Consider the following 18,314-nt stretch of genomic DNA (forward strand, 5'->3'; position numbering starts at 1 on the left):
TCCTAGAATTCAACATTCTCTTTTATAGAGCAATTGGAAACACTCTTTTTGGAGTATTTGAAATTGGACATTTGGAGCACTTTGAGGCCTATGGTGAAAAAGGAAATATCTTCACAGCAAAACTAGACAGAAGCATTCTCAGAAACCTTTTGTGATGTGCGTACTCCAACTCACAGAGTTGAACCTTTCTTTTGATACAGCAGTTTTGAAACACTCTTTTTATAGAATCTGCAAGTTGATATTTGGATAGATTGACGCTTTCCTTGGAAACGGGAATATCTTCACATAAAAACTACACAGAAGCATTCTCCGAAACTTCTTTGTGATGCTTTCATTCAACTCACTGAGTTGAACATTCCTTTTCATAGAGCAGTTTTGCAACACTCTTTTTGTAGAATCTATAAATGGAAACTTGGAGCGCTTTGAGGTGTACGGTGAAAAAGGAAATATCTTCCCATAAAAACTAGACAGAAGAATTCTCAGAAACTTCATTGTGATTTGTGTACTCAACTCACAGAGTTGAACTTTTCTTTTGATGAGCAGTTTTGAGGCATGCTTTTTGTAGAATTTACAAGTGGATATTGGACACCATTGAGTATTTCGTTGGAAATGGGAATATCTTCACATGAAACTAGACAGAACAATTTTCAGGAACTTCTTTGTGATGTGTGCATTCAACTCACAGAGTTGAAAGTTTCTTTTGATAGAGCAGATTGGAAACACTCTTTTTGTAGAATTTGCAAGTGGATATTTGGACAGCTTTGAGGCCTTCACTGGAAACGGGTATATCTTCACATAAAAACTAGAAAGAAACATTCTCAGAAACTTTTTTGTGATGCTTGCATTCAACTCACTGACTTGAACATTCTTTTTCATAGAATAGTTGTGAAACACTCCTTTTGTGGAATCTGTAATTGGAAATTTTGAGCTCTTTGAGGGCTATGGTGAAAAAGGAAATATCTTCCAATAAAACTAGGCAGAAGAATTCTCAGAAACTTCTTAGTGATGTGTGTATTCATCTCACAGAGTTGAAACTTTCTTTTGATAGAGGAGTTTTGAAACACTCTTTTTGTAGTATCTGCAAGTGGATATTTGGATAGCTTTCAGGATTTCATTGGAAACGGGAACATCTTCACATAAAAATTAGACAGAAGCATTCTCAGAAACTTCTTTGTGATGTTTGCATTCATCTCACAGAGTTGAACATTCCCTTTCATGGAGCAGTTTTGAAACTCTCTTTTTGTAGAATCTGCAAGTGGACATTTGGAGCTCTTTGAGGCCTATGGTGAAAAAGGAAATATTTTCACATAAAAACTAGACAGAAGCATTCTAAGAAACTTCTTTGTGATGTCTGCATTCAACTCACAGAGTTGAACATTCCCTTTCATGGAGCAGTTTTGAAACTCTCTTTTTGTAGTATCTGGAAGTGGATATTTGGAGCGCTTTGAGGCCTATGGTCAAAAAGGAAATATCTTCACATAAAAACTAGAGAGAAGCATTCTCAGAAACTTCTTTGTGATGTGTGTAATCAACTGATGGAGTTGAGCCTTTCCTTTGCTACAGCAGTTTTGAAATTTCCTATTTCAACAGAGGCATCATTGGGTTCAGAAATATCCTTTTGCAGGTTCTACAAAAGGATTGTTTCCAAACAGCTCAATGAAAAGAAAGGTTCAAATCCGTGTGATGAATGCACACATTACAAAGTTTTCAGAATGCTTATGTCTAGTTTTTATGTGATGATATTTCTTTATCTCCATAGGCCTCAAAATGCTCAGATATATACCACTGCAGATACTACAAAAAGACTGTTTCCAATCTGCTAAATCAAAAGAAAAGTTCTACTCTGTGAGATGAAAGCACACATCATAAGGAAGTTTCCCAGAATGCTTCTGTATAGTTTTCTGTGAAGATATTTCCTTTTTCACCATAGGCCACAAACCACTCACAAATATCCCTATGCAGATAGTACAAAAAGACTGTTTCTGAATTGTGCATTCATAAGAAAGTTTCTACACTGTGAGAGTAATACACATGTCAGAAAGAAGTTTCTCAGAATGTTCTGTCTAGTTTTTATGTGAAGATATTTCCTATTTCACCTTAGTCCTCAAAGGGCTGACAAATATCCCTTTACAGATTCTACAATAAGACTTTTTCCAAACTGATCAACAAAAAGAAAGGTTCAACTCTGATCAAGGAATGGACATCACACAAAGAAGTTTCTCAGAGTGCATCTGTCTAGTTATTATGTGAAGACATTTGTTTTTCACCATAGGCCTCAAACAGCTCAGAAATATCCCGTTGCAGATTGTACAAAAAGACAGTTTCCAAACTGCTCAATCAAAACAAAGGTTCGACACTGTGAGATGAATACACTCATCACAAAGACGTTTCTCAGAATGCTTCTGTTTAGTTTTTATGTGAAGATATTTCCTTTTTCACCATAGGCCTCAAAGCACTCCAAACATCCATTTGCAGATTCTACAAAAAGAGAGTTTCTAAACTGCTCAATCGAAAGAAAGATTCAACTCTGTGAGATGAATGCAAACATCATAAAGTAGTTTCTCAGAATGCTTCTGTCTAGTTTTTATGTGAAGATATTTCCTTTTTCACCATACCTATCAAAGCGCTCAAAATATCCCTTTGCAGATTCTCTGAAAAGACTCTTTCCAAACTTCTCAATCAAAAGAATGGTTCAACTATGTGAGATGGATGCACATATCACAAAGAAGTTTCTCTGAAATCTTCTGTCTAGTTTTTATGTGAAGATATTTCCTTTTTCACCACAGACCTCAAGCCGCTCACAAATATCCCTTTGCAGATTTTACAAGAACAGAGTTTCCAGACTCGTCAAAGAATAGAAACTTTTATCTCTGTGAGATGAATGCACACCTTGCAAAACAGCTTCTCAGAAACATTCTTTATAGTTTTTATTGAAGATATTTCCTTTTTCACCATAGGCCTCAGAGAGCTGACAAATATACCTTTGCCAATTCTACAAAAATACTGTTTCCAAACTGCTCAATCAAAAGAATGGTTCAACTCTGTGAGATGAATGCACACATAGCCATGAACTTTCTCAGAAACTTCTGTCAAGGTTTTATGTGATGATATTTCCTTTTTCACCATAGGCCTCAAACTGCTCACAAATATCCCTTTGCAGATTGCACAAGAAAAGAGTTTCCCATCTGCTCAATGAAAAGAAACGTTTACCTCTGTGAGATGAATGCACACATTACAAAGCAGTTTCTCAGAAACCTTCTGTCTAGTTTTTATGTGAAGATATTTCCTTTTTCACCATAGGCCTCAAAGTGTTCACAAATATCCCTTTGCATATTCTACAAAAAGACTGTTTCCAAATTGCTCAATCAAAGGAATGGCTCAACTCTGTGAGATGAGTGCACACACCACACAGATGTCTCTCAGAAAGCTTCTGTCTAGTTTTCATGTGAAGATATTTCCTTTTTCACCATAAGCCTGAAAGTGTTCACAAATATCCATTTGCAGATTCTACAAAATACTGTTTCCAAAATGCTCAATCAATAGAAAGGTTCAACTCTGTGAAATGAAGTCACACATCACAAATCAGTTTCTCAGAAACCTTCTTTCTAGTTTTTATGTGAAGACATTTCCTTTTTCAACATAGGCTTCAAAGTGCTCACAAATATCCCTTTGCAGATTCTACAAGAAGACTGTTACCAAAGTGCTCAATCAGAAGAATGGTTCAACTCTGTGAGATGAATGTACACATCAAAAAAAAAGTTTCTCAGAAAGCTTCTGTCTAGTTTTTATGTGAAGATATTTCCTTTTTCACCATTGGCCTCCAAGTGCTTGCAAATATCCCTTTGCCGATTCTACAAAAATACTGTTTCCAAACTGCTCAATCAAAAGAATGGTTCAACTCTGTGAGATGAATGCACACACAACCAGGAATTTTCTCAGAAACTTCTGTCAAGTTTTTATGTGATGATATTTCCATTTTCACCACAGGCCTCAAACTGCTCACAAATATCCCTTTGCAGATCCTACAAGAACAGAGTTTCCAATCTGCTCAATGAAAAGAAACATTTACCTCTGTGAGATGAACACACACATCACAAAGCAGTTTATCATAAATCTTCTTTCTAGTTTTTATGTGAAGATATTTCCTTTTTCACCATAGGCCTCAAAGCGCTCACAAATATCCCTCTGCACATTCTACAAAAACACCATTTCCAAGCTTTTCAATCAAAAGAATGGTTTAACTCTGTGAGATGAATCCACACATCACAAAGTAGTTTCTCAGAAAGCTTCTATCTAGTTTTTATGTGAAGCTATTTCCTTTTTCACCATAGACCTCAAAGCACTCACAAATATCACTTTGCAGATTGTACAAGAACAGAGTTTCCAGACTGATCAAGGGAATGAAACGTTTAACTCTGTGAGATGAATGCAGACATCACAAAGCAGTTTCTCGGAAACATTCATTATAGTTTTTATGTGAAGGTATTTCCTTTTTCACCATGGCCTCAAAGCGCTCATAAATATCCCTTTGCAGATTGTACAACAACAGAATTTCCAAAGTGCTCATAATTAGTTTTTAGGACCAACATGAGCATTTAGAAACACTGCTTGTGGTGCAGCACACATGTGTTATCCACACTGAAATTAGGAATTCAACAGAAGTCCATGTAGAGCCGAAAATGTGAATATTTGGGGACCTCGGAGATGATCTAGCTCACTTTATTTTGTAGAAAAGAAAACAGATTCAGGGAAAGGGCATGCATTGCCTAAGGTGATTCTGCAGCTTTGGTGCAGAAACAAAACACAGCTAAGGTGATTCATCAGGTTTGGAGCAGAAATGCAATACAATCTCTGTTCTTTTGCTCCTCAGATCCAGAATTTTTTCACAATACTGAACTACTTATGTTTCTGATTCCTTATTTTTTCTTTTTAAATTTTGCCAGTATTGTCTTACAAAGATCCTATTCTTTACCCTAAATATTTAAATTGGTTACCACTATTGTCTCTTTATAAGTAAAATTACTAGTTGTTATTATAAATGATTATTCAATCACTTTTCATTTTTGGGGGTCCAGTACAAAGTTAGTAACAAATAAACACTATTGGCCTTGGCAATCCAAGAGGAGCTCAAGTCCTCCAGGGCACGTCAGGAAAAGGCTAAATGACAGCTGTGCTGCGAGTGGACAGAATACAGCTCTCATACAGACTATTGAATATTTGATGTTCTTCAACAATTTCATTAATCTTCAGTTTTTTTCCTCTTTGAAGTGAAAGTCTGCTATGACTTTCAACTTTCTTTTGAAATAATTATAGATTCACAGGAAGTTGCAAAAGGTACAGGGATGTCTTAGGTACTCTTCACTAATTCCAGTGGTGACATCTCGCATAGCCATAGAGCATTATCAAAACCTGGAAACTGACATAGGTACAATTCAGAAAGCTTACTCAGATTGCAACTGTTTTGCATGCATTCATTTTTGTACGTGTGTATGTGTGTCCATGTGTTCTGTTCATTTTTATGTGGTGTAGATCTCTGTAACTACCACTTCGACAGTCAAGATGCAGAACTGTAGCCTCACCACCAGGCTCCAACTTGGGATCTTTGCTGACACTCTGACACGTTTTCCTCCACCCCTTCCCCTTGGCAACCCCATAGTCTGTTCTCCATCTTTACAATTTTATTTCAATAATTTATATAAATGTAATTATACAACATCGTATTTTTAAAGGGAAAAAACAAGCCACAGATAGTTTTGTTAGCACTGTAAAACAGTCTTTAACATTCATCTGTTTTATGTTCTATTTGTCTCAAAAAATGTGCTTTGTTCTTTCCCATACTTTCTGATATCAGGATAGGAAATCAATACCAAACAAAACAATTCCATTCATTTTTTTCCACAGCTTGGTTTTCACTGTTGTTGCCTAACATTTATTGTTGCATTCACTCTTTCTCTCTGTTTTCCATCACCTAAAAGTAACTTTGTGTTCTTTATCTCTTCTAAGAAAACTTGGTAATGAGCCTTTAATGTGACGCCTGGACCACCCTTGTTTTGATTTTGTGTTATGGGTGTTCTTTTGTGTGATCGTTCTCATGGAGAGACCTTGTGAAGCTGGGCTTTTCCAGTGGTTTGTCAAAATGGAAATAGATATTTAACAAACCAAACACAAAATGACCTTGTTCCAGGAATGCATCATTTCTGAGAAAACACTACCTTTTCCAACTAGATATTGTGAATATTACTCATATTATCTTTTACTCCCTTTTATTAAAACTGTATTTTTTTTTACACTTTTGTGTAACTCGGGTAATGAAATGTGAAACTAAGTGATTGCCTACCAGTTACAATTGATGTTAACGATGCTACTGGGAGGCCACCCCTACAGTGGCTGCGCCAAGTCTAGGGACATGCTAGCTTTGCTAAGTTACATGAGATTGCCTACATACTAAACGGAGGTGGGGGACGGGTCCGAGGATGCAGCGGTGCTGCCCTGCCCCGACATGGAAGCTCCGGATGGGGCCCCAGGCACAGCCCAGAGCTGGCGGTGGGCACACGATGGTGGACGACACCACAGCATCCAGTGGATCACCACCAGGGGCAAGCGAACCACGGGACCATGGCCATGAGCACTGCCAGATGGGCCGTGTGGCAGGCTTCCAGCCCCAGACACACCGTGACGTGCCGGGCGGGTGGGGGGCAGGCAGGGGGTGGGTGGGCGAGGAGGACGGTGCCTCAGAGGAGTGTTGGGGAGGAGGGGCACTGGAGCTGTGGTCAGCCAGTCGCTGGGCCGCCTCCAGGGGTGGACGGCGAACTGCGGCGACTGTGACGTGCTCCCCCACCCTCTCCCCGGTGGACCCTTCCTATTTGCCTTCCTCCCAACCCCCAACAAGCCCCCACCACCGACGACGTGAGACGACGACGGCATGGGACCTTCCACCCCGCCAGGGCCAATGAACCCCACACCATGAGCTGCATGAGGCATGAGGGAGCCCCCAAGGGAGGAACCCAGACCGTGATGGTGGCCACAGGAACTCGGCTGCAGCCGGCTATCTTCCCTTTCTATTTTCATGGGTGGCGGTGCTGCCCTCTCTCTCTTCCTCACAGCCGGGAGCCCCCCTTCCCCACGCCACCCAACGCGTGACTACACAGGGCCGCAGGGGGAGGGGGAAGGGGCGGGCACAGCAGGATAGGAGGGCGAATGTCACCGGTCTACACTTGGGGGGACAGAGGGCCCCGTGGGCCCTGCCAGGGAACAGTCATGCACCCCGAGGAGCCCAGAGGCAACCCTGGGGGATTTTGATTGGCAAGTGACGCTCAGACAGGCATAGCCCTGGGAGGAACCCGGGCCGCAAGTGCATTCGAAGAGTCGATGATCAACGTGTCTTGCAGTTCACATTAATTCTCCCAGCTAGCTGTGTTGTTCATTGACACAGGAGCTGAGTGATCCACCACTAAAAGTCATACAAGGTTGATTTGGCGAGGGCACTCCCAACAACGGGAGGCCCTCCTGGCACAGCACGTCACCCAGAGGGGTTACCTCAGGCTGGCCAGTCAGACAGCAACTGGACCAGACTCCAGAGAGGGGTTGGAAGGTTTCACAACACAGAGAGGTGGTGCCGACCACAGTGGGGGGCAAACGCTGACACCACCCCATGGGAGCCCAGGGGTTCCCGCCCCCACAGAGCGGGGTACAGGCCACACGTGCAGCATGCACGACAGCACGATGGCCACTGGGTAAAGCCCCCACCGACATCAGTGGCGACACGCAAGTGTGGCGTGGCCCCAGCTGGCCGGGGGGACGGAGTCGGCAGGGGAGGCGAGGGAGGGGCGGGCCCCTCCTGAACGGACTCCACTGTGGGCCCACTGCACCTGACCCACAGGCAGACCGGCGACCCCTCAAGGGGTCCTTAAACCTCTGCACCAGAATGCGCTAGGTACCTGGATGGCGGGGGCGGATGAGGGGGGTGGGACCGGCATCCGGCCCCCTACCCTCGAGACCCCCTAGCGGGAAGGCTGGGGAGAGCAAGCGGGCCGGGCCGGGCCAGTGGCATGGTTTGGCAGAGGTGACGATGGTGGCAGCGGCAGCGATGGGAACCTGGCCAGCCCCAAAGGGAGTGGGCAGGATGGGGCTGGGACAGTGGGACAGGGCACGATGACAGCCCCAGTGGGGAGGGCACTGAGACCCCCACCCCACCGTGACGCCGAGAACCACCCCCGCGCCCACCGACACACACATGGGGGCCACAGCAGGGGACTGCTCCCCACTGCTCACCAGGCTGCGAGCCATCCAGCCCGCCCCACGACACGCACACACGGTTTCATCCCCACACGCATGTCTCTTTCTACCCCCTCTCTCCCTCCCGAGTTCTCTGGCTCTCGGGGCAGGTGGGGCCATGCAACGAACAAAGGGCACGACTCCGCCCATGCATGCGCCACAGGGGAACACGGTCAGCCAAGGAGGAAGGACATGGCGGCGTCTCCGTGGCTTCGCTCTTCTCTGTTAATGATCCCTCCGCAGGTTCACCTACCGAAACTTTGTTACGACTTTTACTTCCTCTAGATAGTCAAGTTCGACTGTCTTCTCAGCGTTCCGCCAGGGCAGTGGGCTGACCCAGCGGGCTGATCCGAGGGCCTCACTAAACCATCCAATCAGGAGTAGCGACTGCAGTGTGTACAAAGGGCAGGGACTTCATGCAAGCTTATGACCAGCACTTACTGGGAATTCCTCATTCATGGGGAAAAATTGCAATCCCTGATCACCATCGCCAATGAGGTTCAACAGGTTACCCACATCTGCCACATAGGGTAGGCACACGCTGAGCCAGTCAGTGTAGCGCGCGTGCAGCCCTGGACATTTAAGGGCATCACAGACCTGTTATTGCTCAATCTCAGGTGGCTGAACGCCACTTGTCCCTCTAAGAAGTTGGGGGATGCCGACCGCTCCAGGGTCACATAACTAGTTGGCATGCCAGAGTCTCGTTCGTTATTGGAATTAGCCAGACAAATCACTCCAGCAACTAAGGCCATGCACCACCACCCGTGGAATCGAGAAAGAGCTATCAATCTGTCAATCCTGTCCGTGTCCAGGCTGGGTGAGTTTTCCCATGTTGAGTCAAATTAAGCTGCAGGCTCCACTCCTGGTGGTGCCCTTCTGTCAATTCCTTTAAGTTTCAGCTTTGCAACCATACTCCCCTCGGAACCCAAAAACCCAAAGACTGGTTTCTTGGAAGCTGCCCAGCGGGTCATGGGAATAACACCGCCACATCGCCAGTTGGCATCGTTTATGGTCGGAATTACAACGGTATCTGATCGTCTTCGAACCTCCGACTTTCGTTCTTGATTAATGAAAACATTCTTGGCAAATGCTTTCGCTCTGGTCTAAACTGCCAGTCCAAGAATTTCACCTCTAGCGGTGCAATATGAATGCCCCCGGCCGTCCCTCTTAATCATGGCCTCAGTTCCGAAAACCAACAAAATAGAACTGTGGTCCTATTCCATTATTCCAAGCTGCAGTATCCAGGCGGCTTGGGCCTGCTTTGAACACTCTAATTTTTTCAAAGTAAGTGCTTCGGGCCACAGGACACTCAGCTAAGAGCATCCAGGGGGCACCGAGAGGCAAGAAGCAGGGACGGGCTGTGGCTCGCTAGCCCACCCGCTCCCAAGATTCAACTACGAGCTTTTTAACTGCAACAACTTTAATATACGCTATTGGAGCTGGAATTACCACGGCTGCTGGCACCAGACTTGCCCTCCAATTGATCCTCATTAAAAGATTTAAAGTGCACTCATTCCAATTACAGGGCCTAGAAAGAGTCCTGTATTGTTATTTTTCGTCACTACCTCCCCGTGTCAGGAGTGGGTAATTTGAGTGTCTGCTGCCTTCCTTGAATGTGGTAGCCATTTCTCAGGCTCCTTCTCCAGAATTGAACCCTGATTCCCTGTCACCCGTGGTCACCATGATAGGCACAGCGACTACCATAGAAAGTTGATAGGGCAGACATTCGAATGGGTCATCGCTGCCACGGGGGGCGTGCGATTGGCCCGAGGTTATCCAGAAGCACCAAAGCTGGCGGCACCCGACCCCCCGGCCGGGGACGGAGAGGGGCTGACTGGGTTGGTTTTGATCTGATAAATGCACGCATCTTCCCTGTGAAGGGGGTCAGTGCCCTTCAGCATGTAATAGCTCTAGAATTACCACAGTTTTCCAAGTAGGAGAGGAGCCAGCGACCAAAAGAACCATAACTGATTTAATGAGCCATTCGCAGTTTTACTGTACCAGCCCTGCGTACTTAGACATGTATGGCTTAATCTTTGAGACAAGCATATGGTTCTGATAGGATCAACCAGGTAGGTAGAAAGCGGCCTCTGGGACTCGCGAGGATGAGCCCGGCGTCCCAGTTGCGAGATTGGGCGCGGCAGGGCGGGCGATGGGGCGTGGGGGAGGGAGGGAGCAGCTTGGGGTGGTGGGAGGGGGGTGGTGGGGCGGCGAACCGGACATCCCATCCACCCACAGGACACAAAACCCCCCGACGGGCTCACCACTCCCGACCCTTCGTGCCCATGTGCGAGGAGGCCGACCGCCCGACCCGTGTGCGGCAGCCGCGAGGGACCGGCGGCCACTCATGCGCGGAGGGCGCGGGGCGGCCCCGACGTTTGGGCAGCGAAGGAGAGGCGGACCGCGGTGCCTGGGGTCTCACCGCCAGTGGCCTCGGGGCATGAAGGCGGCCCCTCGCGGCACCTGGAGCGGCCGACTGGCCTTCGGCGGGCCTGCGGCTTCCCCACCGCCGCCACTGTCGCGGCCAGCCCCCTGAACCCTCTTCCCTGCACACACTGCTGGCCGACCCCAAACCCTCCGGGTGTCCACCAGGCCCACTCGGGGTGCCGCCGACCTGGTCCCGAAGGCGCACGCCCGGGGACACGGACAACGGGCCAACCAGTGGCTAGCGGCGGCGCCCCACCAGGCAGAGCCGGGTTTGGTCCCAGACGGGGCCACCACAGCCTAAGGCGGTGAGCCGCTCGGGGAGAGAGGATCCGCGGGCAGGGTGGGGGGCACAGACAGGCAAGGCCAGGGACCGCGAGGGCAAGGGCACCTGGGAGCCCGCAGAGGGGCGGCTCGGGGAGAAACCTCAGGCACGGCCGGGCCACCAGGAAAACACGGCCACGGGATCCCACCGCCACAGACAGGAGGGAGGTACCGCAGCGACCCGCCTAGGATGCCGGACGGCCCTCGGCACCACCGAGACCCGCCTCATGAGCCCCAGGTCCCGCCATCAGGACCCCGAGGTGACCTCAGCCACAAACCTAACGCCAGGGCCACGTTGCTCGTTTCTCATCCATCCTCCAACCCGGTCAAGCTCCAGGAGACCGGCATGCCCCCCACTTGGGACGCTTCCCAGGGCCAGGCGGCCCAACCCCGTGCCACGCAAACACGGTCGTCGGCACCGGTCGCTGCTCTGCAGGGGAGCGGGCAGAGAGCCGGCTCACAGCGGAACGGGTCACAAGCCGGACTGAACGCCAGGCACAGCCACCGCTCACGCAGCCTCCCAACCGCTAGGACGCCGGCCCGGCCCGGCGGGATTCTCCCCTGACTCGGAAGGGGAAGGCGCGGGCCACACAGTAGGCGACGAGCTTCCCTGGGTCCCCACCGCGGAGGCTGGCGGAACCCTTGCTTTCCCCCACTCACCTCATCAAGGGGGAAGTGGAGGAGGGTCCTCTGCAAGCCAGTCGCCACGGCAGCGCTACCATAACGCAAAGAGAGGCGGCAGGCCGGGGGATCCGGTACCCCAAAGGCACACCTCTCAGATCGCTAGAGAAGGCTTTCTCACCGAGGGTGGGTCACACTCCCCACACGCCAGTCGCCCCTCGTCGGGCCCGCAGAGGCGCTCAGGGACGCCTGGGGAAGGGAGGGGGCCTGCGGTACCAGGAAAAATCTGCGTGCGGCAACCTTGAGCCTTCGCGGTCTGGGCAGGGGGCCTGGCCGCTGCGCGTGCGCGCAATCCCCGAAGGGCCCCCTAGTCCACCAGCCTCCTTTCTCCCAGGCAAAGCACCTCCAAGTAAACCCACACACAACCTGTCGGAGGCAGAACGGTAGCCCCTCGGCGGCCGGCCGGCGCACGCGTCATCTGCCCCAGCCCACCGCAATAGCTCACACGGCCCGTGCGCAGCCGCCAGAGGGGAGCACGGGACCTGCGCTCGCCAGATCAGGCGGCACCCTTCCCCGCGTGGGAGGGGCGCGTCTCACTCAACCGCCTCGACCCCCACACCAACGAGCTCCCTCAGGACCCACTGGTGGACATCGCGGCGGTGACCGGAGGAGGGGGCGCTGGGGGTGGGAACCACACACCACCACTCGACCTCGGGCACCTGAGGGATAAGCTGGGGGGTGAAGGGGAGGAGCCGGGCGTGGTAGGCTCACGCCTGTCATCCCCGCACTTTGGGAGGCGAGGGAAGGTGGATCCCTCGATCCAGGCCTTGGCAACATGGTGAAACCTCGTCTCTAAAAAAATACAAAAACTAACTGTTTTCATAAACTGGACTCAAAGTTAATAAATAGATAAGTAGGCCGGGAGCGGTGGCTTACTCCTGTAATCCCAGCACTTTGGGAGGCCGAGGCGGGCGGATCACGACGGTCAGGAGATCGAGACCATCCTGGCTACCACAGTGAAACCCCGTCTCTACTCAAAATACCAAAAATTAGCCAGGCGCCGTGGCGGGTGCCAGTAGTCCCCGCTACTTGGGAGGCTGAGACAGGAGGATGGCGTGAACCCGGGAGGCAGAGCTTGCAGTGAGCCGACATCATGCCACTGCACTCCAGTCTGGGCAACACAGTGAGACTCCATCTCAAAAAAAAAATAATAATAAATAGATTAAAATTGAAAATTTATAAAAAACATAGCTGGCGGGTCTCAAATGCTCATGCCTGTCATCCCAGCACTTTGGGAGGCCGAGGTGGGCAGATCACCTGAGGTGGCCAGTTCGAGACCCGCCTGACCCACATGGAGAAATGCCGTCTCTACTAACAATACAAAATCAGCCGGGTGTGGTGACACATGCCTGTAATCCCAGCTACTCAGGAGTCTGAGGCAGGAGAATCGCTTGAACACGGGAGGTGGAGGTTGCGGTGAGCCGAGATGGTGCCATTGCACTCCAGCATGGGCAACAACAGTGAAACTCCGTCTCAAAAAAAAAAAAAAAAAAAATTAAGCACTGTATTCTGTTATTTTTACTTCCTACCCAGAGAAGAATATAATACAACTGTTGTCTGCCTGCCTGCCTGCCTGCCTGCCTGTGACAGGGCCTCACTCTGTCTTTCTCCCAGACTGGAGTGCAGTGACACCATTATGGCTCACTCACTGTAGCCTCAACCTCCCCAGGGTTAGGCGATTCCTCAAGGGATCCTATGGCCTCAGCCTCCCAAAGTGTTGGGGTTACAGGTGTGAGACACCAGCACCCGACCTGAGTTAATACATCTGGTCTCACTACGTCTTAACCACACACCCATGAAGAACTCAAGTCAAGAGAGAGTCTGAGAGAGGCTCTCAGCATTCTCTCCCGAAAGCAGTGAGGTGGATGGCGGCTGTGTGTCCCGAGCTCCTGTGGTTTTAGGTGGCCACGCATAGAGGAGAGATTTCCAATGTTTCCAGAGATGCGCGAGCCACAGTCTTTCGGGGCATCCGAGTGTGAGATGGGGTTTCTGACAGTGACTTAAGGGCCAGGAAGGGCCAGAATCTGCCAAGGCCCGTGTCCCAGGGTGGGGCCGATGGAACCCAAGGTAGAGGGAGTCAGCGGTCCACACAGAGAGAGCTCCAGCCTTAGGACCCACTGTGCAGACCGAATCAGAATGAAGAGAGTCCTTCGTCCTATATGCCACATCCCTCCACTGAACTTGGGAGCGGATCTGTTTTCCAAACATGAGGTGACTCTCGCTTTGCAATGGATCACAAGGGGCTGGGCTTTCCAGAGTCGGCAGGCTAAAGAAGTCATTCTGGCTCAGCCTCCCCCATCCCCTGGTAACTGGTGAGTTTTTTTTTTATTTTTATTTTTATTATTATTATACTTTAAATTTTAGGGTACATGTGCACAATGTGCAGGTTAGTTACATATGTATACATGTGCCATGCTGGTGTGCTGCACCCACTAACTCCTCATCTAGCATTAGGTATATCTCCTAATGCTATCCCTCCCACCTTCCCCCACCCCACAACAGTCCCCAGAGTGTGATGTTCCCCTTCCTGTGTCCGTGTGTTCTCATTGTTCAATTCCCACCTATGAGTGAGAATATGCGATGTTTGGTTTTTTATTCTTGCGATAGTTTACTGAGAATGATGATTTCCAATTTCATCCATGTCCCTACAAAGTACATGAACTCATCATTTTTTATGGCTGCATAGTATTCCATAGTGTATATGTGCCACAGTTTCTTAATCCAGTCTATCATTGTTGGACATTTGGGTTGGTTCCAAGTCTTTGCGATTGTGAATAGTGCTGCAATAAACATACGTGTGCATAAGTCTTTATAGCAGCACGATTTATAGTCCTTTGGGTATATACCCAGTAATGGGATGGCTGGGTCAAATCGTATTTCTAGTTCTAGATTCCTTTGCCATCCCCATCAAGCTACCAATGACTTTCTTCACAGAATTGGAAAAAACTACTTTAAAGTTCATATGGAACCAAAAAAGAGCCTGCATTGCCAAGTCAATCCTAAGCCAAAAGAACAAAGCTGGAGGCATCACACTACCTGACTTCAAACTATACTACAAGGCTACAGTAACCAAAACAGCATGGTACTGGTACCAAAACAGAGATATAGATCAATGGAACAGAACAGAGCCCTCAGAAATAATGCCACATATCTACAGCTATCTGATCTTTGACAAACCTGAGAAAAACAAGCAATAGGGAAAGGATTCCCTATTTAATACATGGTGCTGGGAAAACTTGCTAGCCATATGTAGAAAGCTGAAACTGGATCCCTTCCTTACACCTTATACAAAAATCAATTCAAGATGGATTAAAGACTTACACGTTAGACCTAAAACCATAAAAACCCTAGAAGAAAACCTAGGCATTACCATTCAGGACATAGGCATGGGCAAGGACTTCATGTCTAAAACACCAAAAGCAATGGCAACAAAAGCCAAAATTGACAAATGGGATCTAATTAAAGAGCTTCTGCACAACAAAAGAAACTACCATCAGAGTGAACAGGCAACCTACAAAACTCGTGAGTTTAAATGAGCTGAGGCTGGCAAGGCCGGAGCCGCTATTGGCGGGGAGGGGGGTGGGCGGGGTGGTGGGGGGTGCCTGAGGCACTGCAGAAAGTGGGTCTGAGCCTCGAGGATGACGGTGTTGCAGGAACCCGTCTAGGCTGCTATATGGCAAGCACTAAACCACTATGCTTACTGAGATGGGGTTTTCCTCGCAGAACGCCTTTATGCAGAAGTACACTCAGAAGAAGCCTTGTTTTTACAGGCGACCTGTTCTTACCGCCCAGGAAAGGCCTATAAAACATATAGACTCTTGAAAGGACACAGTTGTCCTACACCACAATGCAAATACCTGCTTGCAAAATGTTGTGTTGATCTTAGCAAGCTTTCAGAAGGGGAACAAATCTTATCTGGTGGAGTGTTTCATAAGCAGAAAAGCCATGATGATATTGTTACTGAGTTTGGTGATTGAGCTTGCTTTCCCCTTCCATTGTTGGTACATGTATATTGCAAGACAGATTGGCTTGCCAAAGGATCAGAATGTTACCAAAAGAGCCTTAGTTTAAATCCTTTCCTCTGGTATCCCTTCGAATCATTATGTGAAATAGGTGAAAAGCCAGATCCTGACCAAACATTTAAATTCACATCTTCACAGAACTTTAGCAACTGTCTGCCCAACTCTTGCACAGCACAAGTACCTAATCATAGTTTATGTCACAGACAGCCTGAGACTGTTCTCACGGAAACACCACAGGACACAACTGAATTAAACAGATTGAATTTAGAATCTTCCAATTCAAAGTACTCCTTGAATACAGATTCCCCAGTGTCTTCTATTGATTCAGCTGTAATTTCACCTGATACTCTCCCACTGGGAACAGGAACTTCCATATTTTCTAAACAGGTTCAAAATAAACCAAAAACTGGTTGAAGTTTATTAGGAGGACCAGCAGCTCTTAGTCCATTAACCCCAAGTTTTGGGATTTTGCCATTAGAAACCCCAAGTCCTGGAGATGGATCCTATTTACAAAACTACACTAATACACCTTCTGAAATTGATGTGCCATCCACCGGATCCCCTTAAAAAAAGTCTGTTGCCAGAATCGGCCAAACTGGAGCAAAGTCTGTCTTCTCACAGGGTGGAAATAGCCGAGAGGTAACTCCAATTCTTGCACAAACACAAAGTTCTGGTCCATAAATAAGTTCAACACCTCAGGTATTGAGCCCCACTATGGCATCTCCCCCAAATGTGCTGCATTGAAGTTCACGACTCTACTAGTGACAGTTCCACAACCAAGGAGAATAGGAAGAAATTAAAAATGAAGTTTCCACCTAAAATCCCAAACAGAAAAACAAAAAGTAAAACTAATAAAGGAGGAATAACTCAACCTAACATAAATGATAGCCTGGAAATTACAAAATTGGACTCTTCCATCATTTCAGAAGGGAAAATATCCACAATCACACCTCAGATTCAGGCTTTTAATCTACAAAAAGCAGCAGCAGAAGGCTTGATGAGCCTTTTTCGTGAAAGGGGGAAAGGTTATTTAGCTTTGTGTTCATACCACTGCAAAGAAGCTATAAATATTTTGAGCCATCTACCTTCTCACCACTACAATACTGGTTGGGTACTATGCCAAATTGGAAGGGTCTATTTTGAACTTTCAGAGTACATGCAAGCTGAAAGAATATTCTCAGAGGTTAGAAGGATTGAGAATTATAGAGTCGAAGGCATGGAAATCTACTCTACAACACTTTGGCATCTTCAAAAAGATGTTGCTCTTTCAGTTCTGTCAAAAGACTTAACAGACATGGATAAAAATTTCCCAGAGGCCTGGTGTGCTGCAGGGAACGTTTCAGTCTGCAACAGGAACACGATATTGCAATTAAATTCTTCCAGAGAGCTATCCAAGTGGATCCAAATTATGCTTATGCCTATACTCTATTAGGGCGAGAGTTTGTCTTAACTGAGAATTGGACAAAGCATTAGCTAGTTTTTGAAATGCTGTCAGAGTCAATCCTAGACATTATAATGCATGGTAAGTGGCAATGATATGTAAAGACAAAGTCTTGTTGATGGTGCTGGTAGTCACTAACTTTTCTTGTTAGATAGCTCTTTATTGTCATGAATTTGGTTACTAATACTTAGGGATGGTACATACTGGTCAATAACTTCAAACTAACATGTTTTCTTATGAAATGTGTGTCTTTAACAAACTCTTAAGTTAACTAATGATAATAGAATACCAGATCCTTATACTCAAGAGTTTCAGTCTTCTACCAAACTTTTGCAGATACTGTAGTTGTGTTTTGTTTGTTTGTTTGCTTGTTTAGTTTTGTTACTTCATTTGTTACTTTTTCTTTGAACACAGAAATGGTGATTGGGACAAAAAGTGCTTGGGAAATTGGAAAGGAATAGCATAATTCACTTATTGGATAATAGAAAAAAACACTGAAAAAATTCACTAGTTGCTGCTTTTTGACAGTGTTCTAGTTTATTGAGTTACTATTAAGAAGTTAGTGTACCCTTTTACTTAGCAGTATCTCTGTTTTACTTTTTTGTACTTGTGTATAAGTAGACACATAGGAAATTACTACCCAGGTCACATTGTTATCAACTGAATAACATATGAAAATGTTTGGTCCTACTTCCGCCTCAACACCATACTTACTGTTGACATGTATTGTATTTTTCTGGACTGACTTAAACGTTTAAATATCAAGAGAAGGCCAGGCACGGTGGCTCATGCCTGTCATCCCAGCTCTTTGGGAGGCTGAGGCGGGCGGGTCACAAGGTCAAGAGATCGAGACCATCCTGGCCAACATGGTGAAACCCCGTCTCTATTAAAAGTATAAAAAGTAGCTGGGCATGGTGGCGGGTGCCTGTAGTCCCAGCTACTCAGGAGACTGAGGCAGGAGAATCGCTGGAACCTGGGAAGTGGAGGTTGCAGTGAGCCAAGACTACGCCATTGCACTCCAGCCTGGGCGACAGAGCAAGACGCCGTCTCAAGAAAAAAATAAATAAATAAATGAATATCAAGAGAAACTACAATTCTGAAGTCATAACTCTGTGGAAGCTTTTTTGTCAGATACGGTTATCTTTGGG

General features: G+C 47.1%; 1 protein-coding gene, 1 non-coding gene and 4 pseudogenes across 3 annotated transcripts in view, besides 1 other annotated feature; 2 read left to right on the forward strand and 4 right to left on the reverse strand.

The window, feature by feature from the left end:
- ANKRD30BL (ankyrin repeat domain 30B like) overlaps positions 1–12,187 on the reverse strand; it is a 110,443-nt gene extending 98,256 nt beyond the window's left edge. For both annotated transcript variants that reach the window (NR_027020.3, NR_152415.2), the window contains exon 1: positions 11,683–12,187. The gene's annotated coding sequence lies outside the window, so the exon portion shown is untranslated. The remainder of the gene's footprint in view (positions 1–11,682) is intronic.
- Positions 6,474–13,727, forward strand: LOC107985804 (uncharacterized; annotated as a pseudogene).
- RNA5-8SP5 (RNA, 5.8S ribosomal pseudogene 5) lies at positions 7,308–7,459 on the reverse strand (annotated as a pseudogene).
- On the reverse strand, positions 8,501–10,349 carry LOC110467533 (RNA, 18S ribosomal pseudogene; annotated as a pseudogene).
- Positions 9,250–9,544: a silencer, noted in NCBI's record as "tiled region #3869; K562 Repressive DNase unmatched - State 22:ReprW". NCBI's record gives its function as "represses a minimal TATA promoter and a strong SV40 promoter by Sharpr-MPRA in K562 cells {active_cell/tissue: K562}" and the evidence as "EXISTENCE:reporter gene assay evidence [ECO:0000049][PMID:27701403]".
- On the reverse strand, positions 11,120–11,234 carry MIR663B (microRNA 663b). The gene has a single exon (NR_031608.1). It is a non-coding gene; the product is annotated as a microRNA 663b (primary transcript).
- Positions 15,223–17,278, forward strand: CDC27P1 (cell division cycle 27 pseudogene 1; annotated as a pseudogene).

Source organism: Homo sapiens, chromosome 2 (genome assembly GCF_000001405.40).
Source record: "Homo sapiens chromosome 2, GRCh38.p14 Primary Assembly".
NCBI lineage: Eukaryota > Metazoa > Chordata > Mammalia > Primates > Hominidae > Homo > Homo sapiens.